General features: G+C 57.1%; 1 protein-coding gene and 1 non-coding gene across 21 annotated transcripts in view, besides 10 other annotated features; one reads left to right on the top strand and one right to left on the bottom strand.

The window, feature by feature from the left end:
• Positions 2,909-3,807: an enhancer, noted in NCBI's record as "H3K27ac-H3K4me1 hESC enhancer chr14:100779917-100780815 (GRCh37/hg19 assembly coordinates)". NCBI's record gives its function as "activates a minimal SCP1, AML or CMV promoter by ChIP-STARR-seq in naive H9 embryonic stem cells {active_cell/tissue: H9 hESC(naive)}" and the evidence as "EXISTENCE:reporter gene assay evidence [ECO:0000049][PMID:30033119]".
• Positions 9,431-9,528, bottom strand: MIR345 (microRNA 345). The gene has a single exon (NR_029906.1). It is a non-coding gene; the product is annotated as a microRNA 345 (primary transcript).
• Positions 9,963-10,132: an enhancer, noted in NCBI's record as "active region_9035". NCBI's record gives its function as "activates an Ori minimal core promoter by ATAC-STARR-seq in GM12878 lymphoblastoid cells {active_cell/tissue: GM12878}" and the evidence as "EXISTENCE:reporter gene assay evidence [ECO:0000049][PMID:35858748]".
• Positions 10,163-10,232: an enhancer, noted in NCBI's record as "active region_9034". NCBI's record gives its function as "activates an Ori minimal core promoter by ATAC-STARR-seq in GM12878 lymphoblastoid cells {active_cell/tissue: GM12878}" and the evidence as "EXISTENCE:reporter gene assay evidence [ECO:0000049][PMID:35858748]".
• Positions 10,323-10,392: a silencer, noted in NCBI's record as "silent region_6089". NCBI's record gives its function as "represses an Ori minimal core promoter by ATAC-STARR-seq in GM12878 lymphoblastoid cells {active_cell/tissue: GM12878}" and the evidence as "EXISTENCE:reporter gene assay evidence [ECO:0000049][PMID:35858748]".
• Positions 10,483-10,952: a silencer, noted in NCBI's record as "silent region_6088". NCBI's record gives its function as "represses an Ori minimal core promoter by ATAC-STARR-seq in GM12878 lymphoblastoid cells {active_cell/tissue: GM12878}" and the evidence as "EXISTENCE:reporter gene assay evidence [ECO:0000049][PMID:35858748]".
• Positions 10,943-16,670, top strand: part of SLC25A29 (solute carrier family 25 member 29) — a 27,878-nt gene continuing 22,150 nt past the window's right edge. For 8 of the 20 annotated variants that reach the window (NM_152333.4, NM_001039355.3, NM_001291814.2 and 5 more), the window contains exon 1: positions 10,943-11,188. Coding sequence is in view for 7 of the 20 variants with exons in the window: in NM_001039355.3 (NP_001034444.1) it covers positions 11,155-11,188 (34 nt within the window). In the remaining 13 variants the exon portion in view is untranslated. Of the gene's footprint in view, positions 11,189-11,610; positions 11,728-11,778; positions 13,380-16,670 lie in introns of those variants that run through there. The other 12 variants (XR_007063981.1, XR_007063983.1, XR_007063982.1 and 9 more) reach the window with 6 other exon arrangements.
• Positions 11,013-11,112: a silencer, noted in NCBI's record as "silent region_6087". NCBI's record gives its function as "represses an Ori minimal core promoter by ATAC-STARR-seq in GM12878 lymphoblastoid cells {active_cell/tissue: GM12878}" and the evidence as "EXISTENCE:reporter gene assay evidence [ECO:0000049][PMID:35858748]".
• Positions 11,441-12,007: an enhancer, noted in NCBI's record as "H3K27ac hESC enhancer chr14:100771717-100772283 (GRCh37/hg19 assembly coordinates)". NCBI's record gives its function as "activates a minimal SCP1, AML or CMV promoter by ChIP-STARR-seq in primed H9 embryonic stem cells {active_cell/tissue: H9 hESC(primed)}" and the evidence as "EXISTENCE:reporter gene assay evidence [ECO:0000049][PMID:30033119]".
• Positions 12,260-12,319: an enhancer, noted in NCBI's record as "active region_9033". NCBI's record gives its function as "activates an Ori minimal core promoter by ATAC-STARR-seq in GM12878 lymphoblastoid cells {active_cell/tissue: GM12878}" and the evidence as "EXISTENCE:reporter gene assay evidence [ECO:0000049][PMID:35858748]".
• Positions 12,370-12,449: an enhancer, noted in NCBI's record as "active region_9032". NCBI's record gives its function as "activates an Ori minimal core promoter by ATAC-STARR-seq in GM12878 lymphoblastoid cells {active_cell/tissue: GM12878}" and the evidence as "EXISTENCE:reporter gene assay evidence [ECO:0000049][PMID:35858748]".
• Positions 13,855-14,024: an enhancer, noted in NCBI's record as "active region_9031". NCBI's record gives its function as "activates an Ori minimal core promoter by ATAC-STARR-seq in GM12878 lymphoblastoid cells {active_cell/tissue: GM12878}" and the evidence as "EXISTENCE:reporter gene assay evidence [ECO:0000049][PMID:35858748]".

Here is a 16,670-nt window from a genome sequence, read left to right as displayed (position 1 = left end):
GTGCAGAGGTAGGGCTGCCTCCCAACTCCAGCTTCCACTCCTGCAGGAAGAGGCACTAGATGCTACCTTTCCCACTGAGGTCATCACAGGTGTCAAACCCCACCCCGTGGGCCCACTGCCACTGCTCCTGTTACCGATAAGGACACCACAGCCCAGACAGAAGCAGCCGATGAGAGTTCGGGAAAAGGGTGGGCACAGTGGCTCACGCCTGTAATCCCACCACTTTGGGAGGCCGAGGCAGGCGGATCACCTGAGATCAGGAGTTCAAGACCAGCCTGGCCAACATGGTGAAACCTCATCTCTACTAAGAATACAAAAATTAGCCGGGTGTGGTGGCACCCGCCTGTAATCCCAGCTACTCGGGAGGCTGAGGCAGGAGAATTGCTTGAGCCTGGGAGACAGAGGTTGCAGTGAGATGAGATGGTGCCACTGTACTCCAGCCTGGCCAACAGAGCGAGACTCTGTCTGGAAAAAAAAAAAATGGCCAAGCGCAGTGGCTCAAGCCTGTAATCTCAGCACTTTGGGAGGCCGGGGTGGGCGGATCACGAGGTCAGGAGTTCAAGACCAGCCTGGCCAACATAGTGAAACCCTGTCTCGACTGAAAACACAAAAAAACAGCTGAGCATGGTGGCGGGTGCCTGTAAACCTAGCTACTTGGGAGGCTGAGGCAGGAGAATCTCTTGAACCAGGAGGTGGAGGTTGCAGCGAGTCTAGTTCACACTGCTGCACACCAGCCTGGGCAACAGAGTGAGACTCTCAAAAAAAAAAAGGTCCAAGAAAAGACCTGGAATTTGAGGCCCAGCTCTGCCACAGATGACACCGTAGCCAATGGACTTAACTCCTGTGCCTCGGTTTCCCTATCTGTGAACGGGGACAACAGCCAGCTGCAGCAGGGTTAACAGGTATTAGTAATCAGAGGCAGAAGTGAAGTCAGAGGGCTGACCACGCAGGTCAGGTCAGGCCCTGCTGCTGGCGTTCCTGAGCCCCCACCACACCCTGGCTCTGTCCCTTCAGAGTCCCCAGACCCGTAAGCCTTTTGGGGGGCTGCTTCTTGCAGCATCTCCTGCTGCCCACATTTCTCCCTGCTCTCCAGCCCTTTGTGCCCTGACCAGGAGGCGTCCTTAGACCTGGAGTCCACTGGCTGCAAGGGCTGAGAAGGCCACTTGTCCTGGACCTCAGGGTTCTCACCTGGATCCAAGGCACAGGGAGGTTGGACTGAGGAAAGGGAGGCCCTCTCCAGAGCAGGGCCTGGGGCCTATCATATCAGCTCATGTGGGCAAAGGAAGGGATTGACTTCTGTCTGTTATTCCTTCATTCATTCACTCGTGTGCACCTTCTCATGCCAGGCCCCACGCTGGGCAGGGGAGCCAGAGATGCCACCCTCGCCCACCTGTGGCCCCAGCCTGGCTGGAGAGTGTGTAATCTATTACTGCATAACAAATTGCCCCAAAATTTAGCTGCTTTAAACATCAGACATTGGCAGGGCGTGGTGGCTCACGCCTGTAATCCCAGCACTTTGGAAGGCCAAGGCAGGCGGATCACGAGGTCAGGAGATCGAGACCATCCTGGCTAACATGGTGAAACCCCGTGTCTACTAAAAATACAAAAAAATTAGCCAGGTGTGGTGGCGGGCGCCTGTAGTCCCAGCTACTCGGGAGGCTGAGGCAGGAGAATGGCATGAACCCGGGAGGTGGAGCTTGCAGTGAGCCGAGACCGCAACACTACACTCCAGCCTGGGCGACAGAGCGAGACTCCTAAAAAACAAAACAAAACAAACAAACAAACAAAAACAAAACAACAAAAATCGACATTTATGATCTCATAACTCCTGAGGGTCCAGAAGCCATGAATAAACTGGCTGGGTGGCTCTGGATGAGGGGCTCTCATGAGGCTGCAGTCATCTGGAGACTAGGCTAGGTTGGGAGGACCCCTGCCGAAGTGACCCACTCACACGGCTGTGGGCTGGAGGCTTCAGCTCCTCACCACACTGCCGACCTCCCCACAGCACTGCTTGGGCACCCTCACAACATGGCACCAATGTCCCCCAGCACGAGTGATCCAGGAGAGCAAGGAGGGGCTGTAGTGCCTTTTAGGACCCAGTTTCAGAGGCAATGCATTGTCTTTGCCACCATTTTCTATTCACTGGAAGCGAGTCACTAAGTCCAGCCCACGCTTGCTGGGAGGGAAGTGAGGTTTCGCCTCTTGAAATGGGGGAGCACTAAAGACTTGTGGACATATTTTCAAGCCACCACAAAGAGCCAGGAATGGAAACAGATGGATGTGGCAGGCCCCTGCAAGGACCCCAGAAGCCTGTCTCAGTCTTGGCTGTTGTGGAGGTTTCAGCAAAGAGAAGAGAGATGAGCCCTCTGGAAAGCAGATGGAGACGTCCTCGCAGGCAGCAGTAGGAGTGCATGCCTAATGGGCACACCGGCCTGGACGTGCTTGGCAGGGAGTGGCTGGGGTGAGGCTGGCAGGCCAGCAAGGACTGGGAAGGGCTTGGAGCTCCCAGGCTGGAGCAGCACAGCACATCCAGGGAAGGCAGTGAGCCCGGTGGGGCAGTGGCAGATGAAGGAGGGGAGACAGGACAGAATCCCAGGCAGGAGGTGCCTTGGAGGGGAAAAGAGAGGCAGCTTCGAAGGGAAGCCTCCTGCAGGCAGGCTCACCAGGCGCCCCTGCTAGCCAGGCCTGGCACACAAAGATGCTCAGTAAACGCATGGGCACAGTGGCTCACACCTGTAATCTTGGCACTTTGGGAGGCCAAGGCATGAGGATTGCTTTGAGGTCAAGGAGGTCGAGACCAGCCTGGGCAACTTAGCAAGACTCTGTCTCTAAAAAAAAAAAAAAGAAAGAAAAAGAAAAAGAAAAAGAAAAAATAGCTGGGCATGGTAGTGCATGCTGTAGCCCCAATTACTTGAAAGGCTAGGGTAGGAGGATCCTTGAGCCCAGGAAGTCAAAGTTGAAGTGAGCCGTGATTGCGGCCTCGGAACGCCAGCCTGGGTGACAGAGACTCTGTCTCTAAAACAAAAAAAAAAGGAAAAGAAAAAAATCCACACATGGACAGGGTGAACGGGAAGCTGCCTGCCACCCTCCGTTTGCACAGCAAGGCCTGTGAAGGAGTGACTTTGGAGGTGAACCCGGCTCCCAGCTGGCCTTCACGCTCTCACGTGTGGCGCAGACACTGGAGGGCCAAGTGGCAGAGGAGCTCAATAATGGGGCTGCGGTGGGAACTCCAGAGGACAGAGCCCGAAGCAGGGGCAGGTAGCAGAGCCCTACGCAGCTGCCCCAGGAAGACGCAGCTCTGCCCGATGCCGGCACGTGCTGGGCAGGTAACTGGTCCCAACACACCTCGGGCTCAGTACACGTTGTCCTTTCTGCCAGCCTCCCCGCCCTCTCCCGCCCACTCCTGCCTCCAGGTGCCATCTCCAGCTCACCCTACCACTCCAACCCAGTTTGCCCTGACTGGAGGCCTGGGACTGCCTGCTCACCCAGCCATACCCACTGTGACAATGGGAACCTGAGAGAGGGCACAGCCAGGCCCCCGCAGCGTCCCAGGGCTGCCCCCGAGGCTAAATTCTGTGAGCCCTGGGCAATGTAGGAAGGCCAAGGGCCGCAAGCCCACGCTGTCTCCACAGACGCCTGGCTGAGCTCCTCTTGCCGGCCCCTCTGTGTCCTGACCAGGTGGCCGCACCATCCCTCTGGCCTTCTGCCTCTGGAGCATACCCCGCCCCCACTCCTGCCCCCTTCAGCTCTATTTTTATCCAAGAAGCACTCGCCATGTGTTATTTATGTCACTCCCCATCTTGAGTTTCTGGTCCTCTCATAATCTGGCCCAAGCCTCCTCAGGCTTCGTGGCCCCCTTGAAGGCCAAGTGGGTTCTGAATGGCACCCGGCCTGCCCAGAGCCCACAGCTCGCCTGCACAGTAGCCCTGGGAAACTAAACGTTTGCAACCAATGGCAATACAAGAAACCCACACACCTTGGTGGCAACTGTGGGACTGAATGTGTTGTGCCAAGAGGCCCCAAGCCCTTCAGCCTCTGAGGCCCAGAGGGCACCCCCTGGCAAAGAGGGGTCACTCCCACTGAGTGGCTGAGAGCTGGAGATTTATCCAGACGGCAAATGTTTATTCACAGCAAGAAAGAGACCAGTTGGGCAGTCATGACTCGCCAGTGCCAGGCCTCAAACCAACAGCTCGGGCCCCAGCCCCTGGCCACAACGCCACCTGACCTGTTCCTGGGTTTTCAGCAGCTGTTTGGGACCTTTGCTAGCTGGGGCCGGGAGCCCCACTGCGGGGGCCCCGATTTCCCCCAACCCATCCAGACCGTTGAAGATGCCCTTAGGAAGCCTTCAGGACTTCAGCTGATTAATTACATTCACACTTATCTTCCACTTCCTGCAAAGGTGTGGACAGTTGTGGGCAGAGAGCCAGAGCATCTTGCCCTAGAACAGCACGGCAGGCACTCTCCCTGCTCTGTGCCAGCTTGGTGTGAGGCCCCCACGTGCATAGACCAGCCCCTAGAATTCTCCCCAGCCCGGTTCACAGATGACAAACCTGAGGCAGGAAGGCTCATGGGTCAGCGCAGCCAGGAGGAGTCCCAGCTGAGACTAAAAGCAGAACTGTCTGAGTTGGTGTGGGGAAAAGCAAGAGAGCTCAGATTGTTACTGTGTCTGTGTAGAAAGAAGTCGACATAGGAGACTCCATTTTGTTCTGTACTAAGAAAAATTCTTCTGCCTCGAGATGCTGTTAACCTATAACCCCACCCCCAACCCTGTGCTCACAGAAACATGTGCTGTGTCCACTCAGGGTTAAATGGATTAAGGGCCGTGCAAGGTGTGCTTTGTTAAACAGATGCTTGAAGGCAGCATGCTTGTTAAGAGTCATCACCACTCCCTAATCTCAAGTACCCAGGGACACAAAACACCGCGGAAGCCCGCAAGGACCTCTGCCTAGGAAAGCCAGGTATTGTCCAAGGTTTCTCCCCATGTGATAGCCTGAGATATGGCCTCGTGGGAAGGGAAAGACCTGACCGTCCTCCAGCCGGACACCCGTAAAGGGTCTGTGCTGAGGAGGATTAGTAAAAGAGGAAGGAACCCCTCGTTGCAGTTGAGACAAGAGGAAGGCATCTGTCACCCGCTCGTCCCTGGGCAATGGAATGTCTGGGTGTAAAACCCGATTGTATATTCCATCTACTGAGATAGGGGAAAACCGCCTTAGGGCTGGAGGTGGGACATGCGGGCAGCAATACTGCTCTGTAAGGCATTGAGCTGTTTATGTGTATACATATCTAAAGCACAGCACTTAATTCTTTACTTTGTTCATGATGCAGAGACCTTTGTTCACGTGTTCACCTGCTGACCTTCTCTCCACTATTATCCTATGACCCTGACACATCCCCCTCTCCGAGAAACACCCAATAATGATCAATAAATACTAAGGGAACTCAGAGGCTGGCGGGATTCTCCGTATGCTGAACGCCGGTCCCTGGGCCCCCTTTTTTCTTTCTCTATACTTTGTCTCTGTGTCTCTTTCTTTTCCAAGTCTCTCGTTCCACCTAACGAGAAACACCCATAGGTGTGGAGGGGCAACCCACCCCTTCAAGTTGGATCTTCCTGAATCTATCCTTAGAGATGGTCTCAACCCACAGTTTCACAGCCACCTTAGAACCACTAAAGAGCCTGGTTTAAACGCAGCTTTTGTCTCTACCTGCTCCCTGGGGCTGACTTCTTAGGTCTGGGGCAGGGCCTCAAAATCTGCCTTCCTAGCTGTTTGCCAAGGTGGCGGCAACTCAGCCCCACAGGGACCCACTGGCCAATTCCAACCCCAGAGGTCTAGAGAGGGAAAACCTGTGGCCAAGGCCACACAGCAGGACAGAGCAGAGTCTGGGTCCTCTCACCAGGCTGGGCTCCAAGGCTGCCTGCTCGCCCCTTGCTCAGGTTGGGAGGAGGCAAAGCTGGTGGGGCACAGCGTGGCGACCTGCCCCCTGTGGTTCCAGCTATTCAAGAGGCTGAGGTGGGAGGATGGCTTGAGCCCAGGAGGTTGAGGCAGCAGTGAGCTGTGACTGCACCACTGTACTCTGGCTGGGCAACAGAGCGAGACCCTGTCTCTCTCTCTCTCTCTCACACACACACACACACACACACACACACACACACACACACACACGGCACCAATCCCATTCCCTCATAACCTAATCACCTCCCAAAGGCCCTGCTTCTAACACCATCACCTCCGGGGTTAAGACTTCAGCATATGAGGAACAAAACACACTGGGGCCTACCTAAGGGTGGAGGGGAGGAGAGAGAGGATCAGTGGGCATTAGGCTTAATACCTAGGTGACAAAATAATCTGCACAACACACCCCCATGACATGGGTTTACCTATACGACAACCCTGCACATGTACCCCTCAACTTAAAAGTTAAAAAAAAGGACTTCAACATATGAACTTTGGGGGGACACACACATTCAGACCATGGCAGGTCAGCCAAGCCCCTTCTGAAGAGGTAAGCATTGAGCAGGAACCCAAATCCTGTTTGTTTATTTATTTATTTATTTTGAGACAGAGTCTCCCTCTGTTGCCAGGCTGGAGGGCAGTGGCGTGATCTCGGCTCACTGCAACCTCTGACTCCCAGGTTCAAGCAATTCTCCTGCCTCAGCCTCCCAATTAGCTGGGATTACAGGCATGCACCACCACGCCCAGCTGATTTTTGTATTTTTTTTTTTTTTGAGATGGAGTCTTACTCTTGTCACCCAGGCTGGAGTGCAGTGGCAAGATCTCGGCTCACTGCAACCTCCGCCACCTGAGTTCAAGCGATTCTCCTGCCTCAGCCTCCCGAGTCGGTGGGATTACAGGTGCCTGCCACCGCGCCTAATTTTTTTGTATTTTTAGCAGAGACGGGGTTTCAGCATCTTGGCCAGGCTGGTCTTGAACTCCTGACCTCATGATCCACCCGCCTCGGCCTCCCAAAGTGCTGGGATTACAGGCGTGAGCCACCACGCCCAGCCAGAACCCAAGTTCTAGAGGTAACGACGCCAGGCCAGGCAGAAGCTTCCAACATGGCAAAACCCCATCTCTACTAAAAATACAGAAAATTGGCCAGGCATGGTGTCGGGTGCCTGTAATCCCAGGCTACTAGGCCCCTTCCCAAGGACCCCAGGGACTCAGAGGAGCTGCCAGTGCCAAGGCCCTGAGAGGGGCACAAGCTTAGAGGGTGGGCTCCAATAAGAGGGCCAGAGGGCATGAAAGGTGGGAGGTGAGGTTGTAGTCTGGTTACCCTGGGCCTCACACCATGGCACTGAGCTCGAGTATTCCAATATGAGACAGGAGGCGACTGACAGCGCGCCGGCCCCACCAATCTTTGGCCAGGAGTTTGCAACCTGCTCAGGTGGCTCCCATCCCGAGTCTACACCTGTGCTTGCTGCCAGAGCCCTTCTGTGCACTCTCCCCTGCACAGCCTAACTCCTGGGAAGGTCTACACAGCTGGTGCCTCATCCTCTCCCCCTCAACTTGCCCTCTGGCAGCCTGAGTTGCAGCCACCCCCCCCAAGTCCTGGCCCAAACAGCTCCTGCAGGGGGTCATTCAGCTCCAAGATTCCAGGGTGGGGACAGAGACTTGCGTTTCCTTTTTACTTTCTGGCGTTTCTGATTTCTCCACACTGAACCTGTCTTGTGTGAGAATAAAAGCTGTACACAGGGAAAACTCCAACACACCCTTTCCAGTGAGCTGGCTTGACCCTCGGTGCCCCGTGACAGTCCCTCCGGCCTTGCTGTCCTGTGCTGGCCTTGGGTCTGCCCTGCCCCTTAAAAGGCTGGGGTCCTCAGGGCTGCACAGAGCCCTGCCTCCTCTGGGATGGGAGGTCCAGGGCTCTGTGGAACATGGGAGTTTGAGAAAGCACATTCTGTGCTGTAACCTTATCCTCAGGAAATGAAATAAAACAATAGACACTGAACCCAAGTGTCCAAGATGTAGGCATACGGATTCATTTACTTGGCACCAACTTTTTCACTCCTCCTTTCTGGTCTCTCCTCAGCCCTGACATGGAGGTCAGGGATTTGTGTCTGTCTTGTCCCCAACACAGGGCACAGGGCAGTGCGCCGACTGAGTGCATGATTCCCAGGCAGCAGGGAAACAGGGTGCTCAGGAAGATGTGGTTTTGCAAAGTTTAGTAACCCAGCAGCACACCCGTGTGGACGCATCCCTTTCCAGTGCCTGTCCTCACCCCCTCCCCAATGTCCCCCACCCAGTGTCAACTGTGCAGGCCCTGGGCACACCAAGATGAAGGGGACAGACCTGGGACCTGCCCTCAGGGTACTTCCAGCTGAAGGCAGCCCCCTGTCACCCACAAGGGAGCTGAGGCTCCCTTGGCGGGTCAGGTCAGGCAAATCTGTCCCAGAGCCCAGTCCTCCACTGTCCCCCACATGTTGACCTTAGTCCCCAAATCCAACAGCCCTCCCCCGACCACACACACACACCCAGAACCCTGCCCTCTCCTTGCAAAGTGCACAGCTAAGGGCCCGCACTCCTCATCTCCCAGGCCTGGCACGATCCCACTGCTGCCCTCACACGGCCTGCCTCAGCTCTCTCAACAAAGGACCCTCCCTGCAAGGAGGTTTTTCTTTTTGAAATAGGGTCTTGCTCTGTCATCCAGGCTGGTGCACAATGGTTCGATCATAGCTCACTGCAGCCTTGACCTCCTGGGCTCAAGCGACCCTCCTGCCTCGGCCTCCTGAGTAGCTAGGACTACAGGCCTGCAGGCATGCGCCACCACATCCTGCCGATTTTTTTTTTTTTTAGAGATGGGGCCTCACTATGTTGCCCAGGCTGGCCTCAAACTCCTGGCTTCAAGCGATCCTCCTGCCTCAGCCTCCCAAAGTGCCTGGATTACAGGCATGAGCCACTGAACCCAGCCTCAAGGAGGTTTCTGAAGCTCAACTATGGAATACCTACTGTTTACCAGGCTACTAGGCCCCTTCCCAAGGACCCCAGGGACTGACAGCTCAGTGCAACCTGCCCCAAGCATAATTTTCAAGGCATGTGCATTCTCTCAATAACAAAGCAAAACAGGTCATGCTTGTCTCCTTATCCGTTTCCATCATTTTCTCACTACTGCCACATGCTGTCAAGGTACTGGATTTCCCTCCCAAACCTCCTCAACCAGGAATGGATGTGCAGGGATTTGTGCTTTACCTCATGAGCCCTCCAGCATCCCAAGGACATCCTGTTCCTAAGGTAAGTGACTACATGTAGGTAGTCCAGTGTAATCACTGTGTCTGCAGGAGGCCTCCAGCCACCTGAGTAGCCCCACAGCCAGCTCCTGCCCTTTTGGGTCTGGGCTTCTCTTGGGGCCCCCATACCACTGCTTTTCTGGCCCATGGGCCACTCTCCCCCATCCGCACACCTGCCTCCCTGAGGCAACCAAGTGGGTCAGAGAGGCTGTCGATATTCAAACCCAGGCCTCCAGACCCCTCGTTCAGGGCCCACCAGCCATCACGAGCCCTGGACTAGGAGTCAGCAGACCTAGGGTTTGGGTCTCTGCTTAACATTCTACTTAGACTCTAAAAGGAAACTAACATGAGCACTGGGGACCCCTGCCCCTAGCACCAGGCTGCACTACTGACAACACCTACCTGTGTGTCCTAGTACCAAATACACAGAACCTTTCGACCTGCACCTCCAGGAGGTAGGTACCCACTGGAATTTGGATAAAAGAACCATGTGACCCTAAACCTGGAAACGTGGCACACGGTGTGGCCTTGCCTGCCTGCAGGCCCTAAAGAAGGAAGCTGGGCCCGGCCTAAGGCTGATCTGACTCCTACAGCGAAGAGAAAGCGCCTGGCCCGTCCCTGCTCCCAGGCTCCAACCTGACAGTCTGGACCTCCAGAGGCGCTGGGGAAGGGCTGGTGGGAAGTCACCGAATGGGACGCTCCACAGGGACCAGGGCAGTCCCTTGCCACTGCGAATGTCAGGGACTCCTGGGGGGCCGAGTCAGACTCGGCTCTCATTCATCCCCGCAGCCCATGGATACCCTGGTGACCCAGAGCCAAGCACCCTCCGACTTCAGCGCCTGAGCGCGGCCCCTACCGAGCCCCTCCGGTCTCGCCCCGTCCGGCCGCCGCTGACGGAGGCGCTGCGATCTGGCCCGACTCCACTCTGCAGCCCAGTCCAGGAACCTCCCTCTCTCCACAACCTTCCGCGGCTCCCGCGACCCGCAGTCCTCGGGAAGGAGCTGTGGCCCGAAGGCCTGCTGCGCCCTTTGCCCATGGCCCCTTTCCCTTTTAAGGTTCCCTGCTCTCCGCCCAAATCCCAGCCTCAGGCTCCGCAGGAAGCGCCCGTGCGCGTCCGACCCCCAGAACCCGGCGGGTTCGGCCAGGAGTCCGGAAGCCCCGGAGGCCACCGCCGCCGCGGGCGCGCAGGCGGGACGGGCAGAGGCTCCCCACGGGCGATTCCCGCTCGCGGAGTTTCGCAACTAGCGGCGTCCCAGTCTGCGGGCCTCGGAACGTCCCGGCGCTCCACGGCCGTTTTCGCGGCAGGGTCCGCACGGCACAGACTAGGGCGCTGAGGTTCTGCGGCGGCGCCGGACTCCGAACCCAGGGTCCGGTTCCCGACCCGGTCCAGACCAGAGCCACCCCGCGTACTCCGGGTGGGGGAGTCCTCGGCTCAACCCCGCCACCCCGCGCGTCCCCTCCCGCCGGACCTGCGCACCCAGCGCGCTCTTTGTCTGAGGCGTCCCCGCGCCCCGCCCGCGCGCCCACCACGTCCCCCGCGCCCCGCCTCCCGCGCACGCCCGGCCAATGAGGCGCGGCGGCGAAGCGCAGTGCCCGGGGTGTTGTCCGCGCCGTGCCCGCCCATTGGCCTCACTCGGCGCCCCCACCCGGGCCCTGCCGGCAGGCACGAGGGGCGGGGCGCGCGGCCCGAGGTGAGGGACCGCGGGCCGGAGGGGATCCAGCGAGTCAGCTGCCGCCGAGGGACCAGCGCGGGTCTAGCTGCTGCCGCCATCCCCACCATCCCTGACCGCGCCTGCCCGGGCTCCGCGCCAGGAGGAGCGGCCAGGCCCAGCCCCGGCACCGCGCGCTCGGGGACCCCGACGGCGCCCAGCCCGGCGAGGGGCCTCAGGGGGAGGACGAGGAGGAAAGGCGGCCTCGCCGGGGACCCGGCCATGGCGCTGGACTTCTTGGCTGGATGCGCGGGGGGTAAGGAGGCGGCGGGCCGGGCCGGGCCGGGGCGAGGCGTCCGGGGAGGGAGGTCGGCCCACCAGCACGCCCTGGCCTCGCGGCTTCCCGCTGGCGGGGGTCGCCGCGTCTGTGAATGGGGACCACAGTTCTCTTGCCTCGGGCGGGTCTCGTGGGCGTAAATTGACTTCAGGCCCGGGCTGTCCGCGAGGGCAGGTGTCTTTATTCTCTCTGGGCACGCTCGGACGGGAGGTCTGGGGCGCCGGGGCAGCACCGTGGCTGAGCGGAGGCCAGGACTGCCGGGAGGATGCCCCACTGCCCCCCGCGCCGAGGTCCCGGGCTCATCTCCTTCCCCTCCCCCATCCCCATCCGTTGCGCACTGGGAGCAGGGTCCCCTCCCCCGGCCGTATATTTCGGGACTGACTCCACCCCGTCCCGCGCAGCCATCCAGCGGGGTTGGGGCTACGGAGCCGACCCCCTACTCGGCTGGCCTTGGAGGGCACTGAACCACTCTGGCGCCGAGTCACGCCTTGGAACGCCGCCCCTTCCTACGCGGTTTTGTGAGCTGTTGGGGGCGGAAGGGGGGTGGTGGGTGGGTCGGGCGAGCCGGTGTGGGGCACCTTCTCCGAGGCGCGGTCGCGGCTCTGGGGTTCCTCCCATGCAGTTGTCCCCGGGAGGGCCCGGGCGGGCGTGCAGTCCAGGCTCTCCCATGCCCCGACCGTGGGCGTCGGGCACGGCACTTCCCTGTTGGGCCTCTGGCTTCTCTGCTTTTACCTTGAGGGTTAATTTATTCACCAGGATTTAGATGTCGGGGGCGGGGGAGGGTGGTTGGCGGCGGGAGTTGCTGAGAGGGCCGGCCGCTTATCCCTGTTTGGTCCCACTTTTCTCCCAGCACCTGCCCTTGTTCACCGCCTCTTCATCTACTTGGATTTGGCTCGAATAAACCCTCAGCTCCCGGCCAGCGCTGAGAGCCCTGGCGGAAGAGTGGGTAGCGGTGGCCTTAAGTATTAAATCTGTGGCGTCGGAGCCTGCTTCTTGGGGGAGAGACTCGTTGAAAAGGGAGTGTGTTGGGGAGGTGTTGTGCGCTGAGGGGAGTTAGAACTTCCCGGTCGGTTACCCAGTGGGAAGCTGCGGGGCACAAAGCCCAGAATTTGCTGCTAATCGCTGGGTGCCCTGGAGACAGAGGGGGCGTGTCCTCTGCGGATTCCATTCTCACCTTCCCCTCCCGCTTCTGATCTCGCTGTTTGCTCCACCCTTGCTCCCCACCCACTATCAGCTCCAGCGGGTGGGGGTGAAGGGCTGTCCCCAGGCCAACACCTCCTTCCAGGCTTTGGGGAGTGGGGATTCTTTCCCCGGATGGGCAGAGTTCCTTCTGCAGTGGCGCTACCGTCCGTGCTGCCCTCCTGGAAACACCGGGGTTTGGGGCAGGAACACTTCACCTGAAAGCAGGCCTGCTTGGCGCCTCCCGGCACATCTGTGGTCTCCTCTGCACGTCGCTCGCGCAGCCTCCTTGCCTGGAATGTCCTTCGCTGCCCATCCTCATAGGCCCACCTGGGAGAGATCATATCCATGCCCCCTGCCCCAGGTTTGTGGGTCAAGGACTGGCACTGTCTGGTGCTGTAGCACTGGGGCACAGGCCACCCCCCTGCCCCCAGGCCCTGCTTTTCGTGCAACCCCCAGGCACATAATGGCCACCCAGCTAAGGCTCTACAAGCGTAAGCCTGAGCCTCCCAGGTGGACAAGGACAGAAGTCACCTGGGGGCTCACTCCTGGTCTCATCGGAGAAACCTAGGCCCAGAGAGGTGGGGGTACTAAAGCAAAGTCACACCACATGCTCCTCTGATGGCCAGGGTGAGCCTGCAGTCCTCTCCTCTCCCCCTTACTCCAGGGTGCTGGGGTGGCCCCTCAGGACAGTGAACTGACTGTGTCCCAGGCTCCAGGTCCCTGGCACAGCTGGGGTCACACTGACAGCCTGCCCAGAGGCACCCCACCTTGGGACCCGTACCCCAGCAGCCCCTGCCTGGCTCCTTCTTGGGGTGCCCCCAACCTACAGGCTCAGGGCAGATAATGCCAGTGCTTCTCCTTGGTGGCTGGGGAGGGGGACTGTCCACCCCCTACTATTCGCCTAGTGTGGGTCACGTGTTTTAACTTCTCAGGGAGGCGGGGCCAGCATCTTGACTGACAGCATCCTTGAGGCCTTGCATGGTGGAAGGTTTGGAATGCCTCCCCCTCTCCCCTACTGGGGGATCAACCCAAATCTTGAGGCCACATAGACACTGGGCTCTGGATGGACAGAAGCAGGCGCAGAGAGAAAAGCTCAGCTAGGGGTGGGAGAACCCGGGAGGAGAGGTAACCCCAAGAGGGAAGGGTGCCTCTTCCACTACCTCTGCTACCAGCCATCCCCAGGACAGTGGTTCCTCCCCACCCCGCCCAGCCCTGAGGACTACTGGTTGGGGATTGCCTCCGGAGCCCAGCTTAGGGAGGACAGTAGACAGTAGGCTTTGGAGTTGGGAGACAGGGTTCCGCTTCTGCTGGTGTGACTGGAGGCCTCCTCGTGCGCTCAGAAAGGTGGTGAGGAGGCTCCTCCAATGGAGGCCGGCCCCACAGCCCACACTGTTCCTGAGGATGGGTTCTTCTGGGTGAAGGAGACCAAGCCCCTCGCCGAAGGGTGCTGAAACAAGTCAGAAGAGAAAGTGGGAACCAGTGCCTCTCCTGGGAGACTTGAGTGGGGCCTTGTGGGAGTGGGGCCTCCCAACAGAGGCAAGTGGCGTAAGGGTCTTTCTGCTCTCTCCCTCCCACGCCTTGCTGCTGTTGCTGTCACCTGGGCAGGTCTGGGGCCAGAGGCGTGACCATGCACCCACAGGAAGGGGACCCCACAGCTGGACCTAGCTTCAAGGGACATGGAGGGGCCTCGAGGGGCCCCCTGCTGGAGGGAGAAGTAAAGTCCAGTGGCACATCCTGGGCAAGTGTTCAGTTTCCAAAACCGAGGGAAATCCAGATACTTCCCAAGAAAAGAGGTTCTAGAACGAGGATTTTCAGCTTTAGAAAATTAAAAAGCTGAAGTGGAAAAGAGGATGGATTTCCTGTTTCCAGGATGCAAAGGCCTCCCAGAAAATCAGAAACCCAAATGGAAGTCATGAAAGAAAAGATAGGCTTGGTGGTTGCTTCTTCATTCACCTGTGAATGTTAGAGGCTCTGGAAGAAGAAGGAACAGGTCTGGAGATGATTAATATGATGAATAAATAATAGTGGAAATTTTCCCTGATCAGAAGAGGGCATGAGTCTGCACAGTGAAAGTGTTGGTAGAGCTCCAGGCAGGGTTACTTTAAAGAAAAAGACACACCCTTGGCATCTCCTGGTGACATTCTTGAAATCCACAGATAAAATCTCAGCGACCTCCCACAGAATAAATAAACCATTGACAAAGGAGAAAAAAAAAAAAAACATTGGCAGCAGATTTCTCATCTGCAGCACTGAAAGCCAGAGGACCAAGGCTGGCCTGGGCCCAGGATTCTCAACCAGAGCATTCATACTGTTCCCCAACCAGATTAAGAAATAGATTTTGAGCCGGGCTCAGTGGCTTACACCTGTAATCCCAGCACTTCGGGAGGCTGAGATGGGTGGATCACGAGGTCAAGAGATCGAGACCCTCCTGGCCAACATGGTGAAACCCCATTTCTAAAAATATAAAAATTAACTGGGTGTGGTGGCACGCACCTGTAGTCCCAGCTACACAGGAGGCTGAGGCAGGAGAATCACTTAAACCCGGGAGACAGAGGTTGCAGTGAGCCGAGATCGCGCCATTGCACTCCGGCCTGGGTGACAGAGCAAGACTATCTCAAAAAAAAAAAAAAAAAGAAAGAAATAGATTTTGGGCCGAGCTTGGTGGCTCAAGCCTGTAATCCCAGCACTTTGGGAGGCCGAGGCAGGTGGCTCACTTGAGGTCGGGAGTTCAAGACCAGCCTGGCCAACATGGCAAAACCCCGCCTCTACTAAAAATACAAAAATTAGCCGGGTGTGGTGGCGGGAGCCTGTAATTCCAGCTATTCGGGAGGCTGAAACACAAAAATCACTTGAACCTGGGAGGTGGAGGTTTCAGTGAACTGAGATTGTGCCATTGCATTCCAGCCTGGGCGACAGAGTGAGACTCTGTCTCAAAAAAAAAAAAAGAAAGGCTCTAATGAAATGGCAGTTGATGAGTAGAGACCCCAAGATTGAAGGAGAGGGCATCGTTGTGCATTGAGTCTCACGGTCTCAATGAGGAAAATGTCAATGGAAGGTGGCAGGGATGGGAGCCTTCTTCGGGTAGCTCTTACTGGGGTGGGTGGGGCAGAAGGAGGCAGAGAGTCGTGGGGGAGGCGGTGCTTACCCTGTTTCTATATAATGATTAGACGTATTAGAAGCAGGAAGTGCCGGGCGTGGTGGCTCACACCTGTAATCCCAGCACTTTGGGTGGCCGAGGCGGGTGGATCACGAGGTCAGGAGATCGAGACCATCCTGGCTAACAAAGGTGAAACCCCGTCTCTACTAAATATGCAAAAAATTAGCCAGGCGTGGTGGCGGGCACCTGTATTCCCATCTACTCGGGAGGCTGAGGCAGGAGAATGGCGTGAACCTGGGAGGCAGAGCTTGCAGTGAGTCGAGATCGTGCCACTGCACTCCAGCCTAGGTCTCAAAAAATAAATAAATAAAAATAAAAAGCAGGAAGTAACCCTTTGCTGAAATTACAAATTAACAATTAGAAAGGGAATAAATAGCTGGGCGTGGTGGCTCACGCCTGTAATCCCAGCACTTTGGGAGGCCGAGGCAGGCGGATCAATGAGGTCATGAGTTTTAGACCAGCCTGGCCAACATGGCGAAACCCCTTCTCTACTAAAAATACAAAAATTAGCTGGGTGTGGTGGGGTGGGCCTGTAGTCCTGCTGAGGCAGGAGAATCACTTGAACCTGGGAGGCAGAGGTTGCAGTCAGCCCAGATCGCGCAACGGCACTAGCAAGACTCTCAAAAAAAGAAAGGGAATAGGCCAGGCGTGGTGGCTAAAGTCTGTAATCCCAGCACTTTGGGAGGCCAAAGTGGGCGGGCCACAAGGTCAGGAGATCGACACCATCCTGGCTAACATGGTGAAACTCTGTCTCTACTAAACATACAAAAAATTAGCCAGGTGTGGTGGCGGGCGCCTGTAGTCCCAGCTACTCGGGAGGCTGAGGCAGGAGAATGGCATGAACCCGGGAGGTGGAGCTTGCAGTGAGCCGAGACCGCAACACTACACTCCAGCCTGGGCGACAGAGCGAGACTCTGTCTCAAAAAATAAAAAATAAATAAAAGAAAGGGAATAAATAGTAATTTTCCCAAACCATCAAAAGTATGGAAAAAGGAGTAAAATAAACCATTTACATAAAATAAAGTGGCATAAAAATGTCAGATCCCTCAGTTGTTCCAGCAAAATCAGACTGCTTTAGACTGGGTTAGAAAACAAAATCCAGATACAGTTGTTTACAACAAA

Source organism: Homo sapiens, chromosome 14 (genome assembly GCF_000001405.40).
Source record: "Homo sapiens chromosome 14, GRCh38.p14 Primary Assembly".
In the NCBI taxonomy this organism is placed as follows: domain Eukaryota; kingdom Metazoa; phylum Chordata; class Mammalia; order Primates; family Hominidae; genus Homo; species Homo sapiens.
Note: the sequence above shows the minus strand (reverse complement) of the source record. Positions and strands in the feature narration are given on the sequence as shown.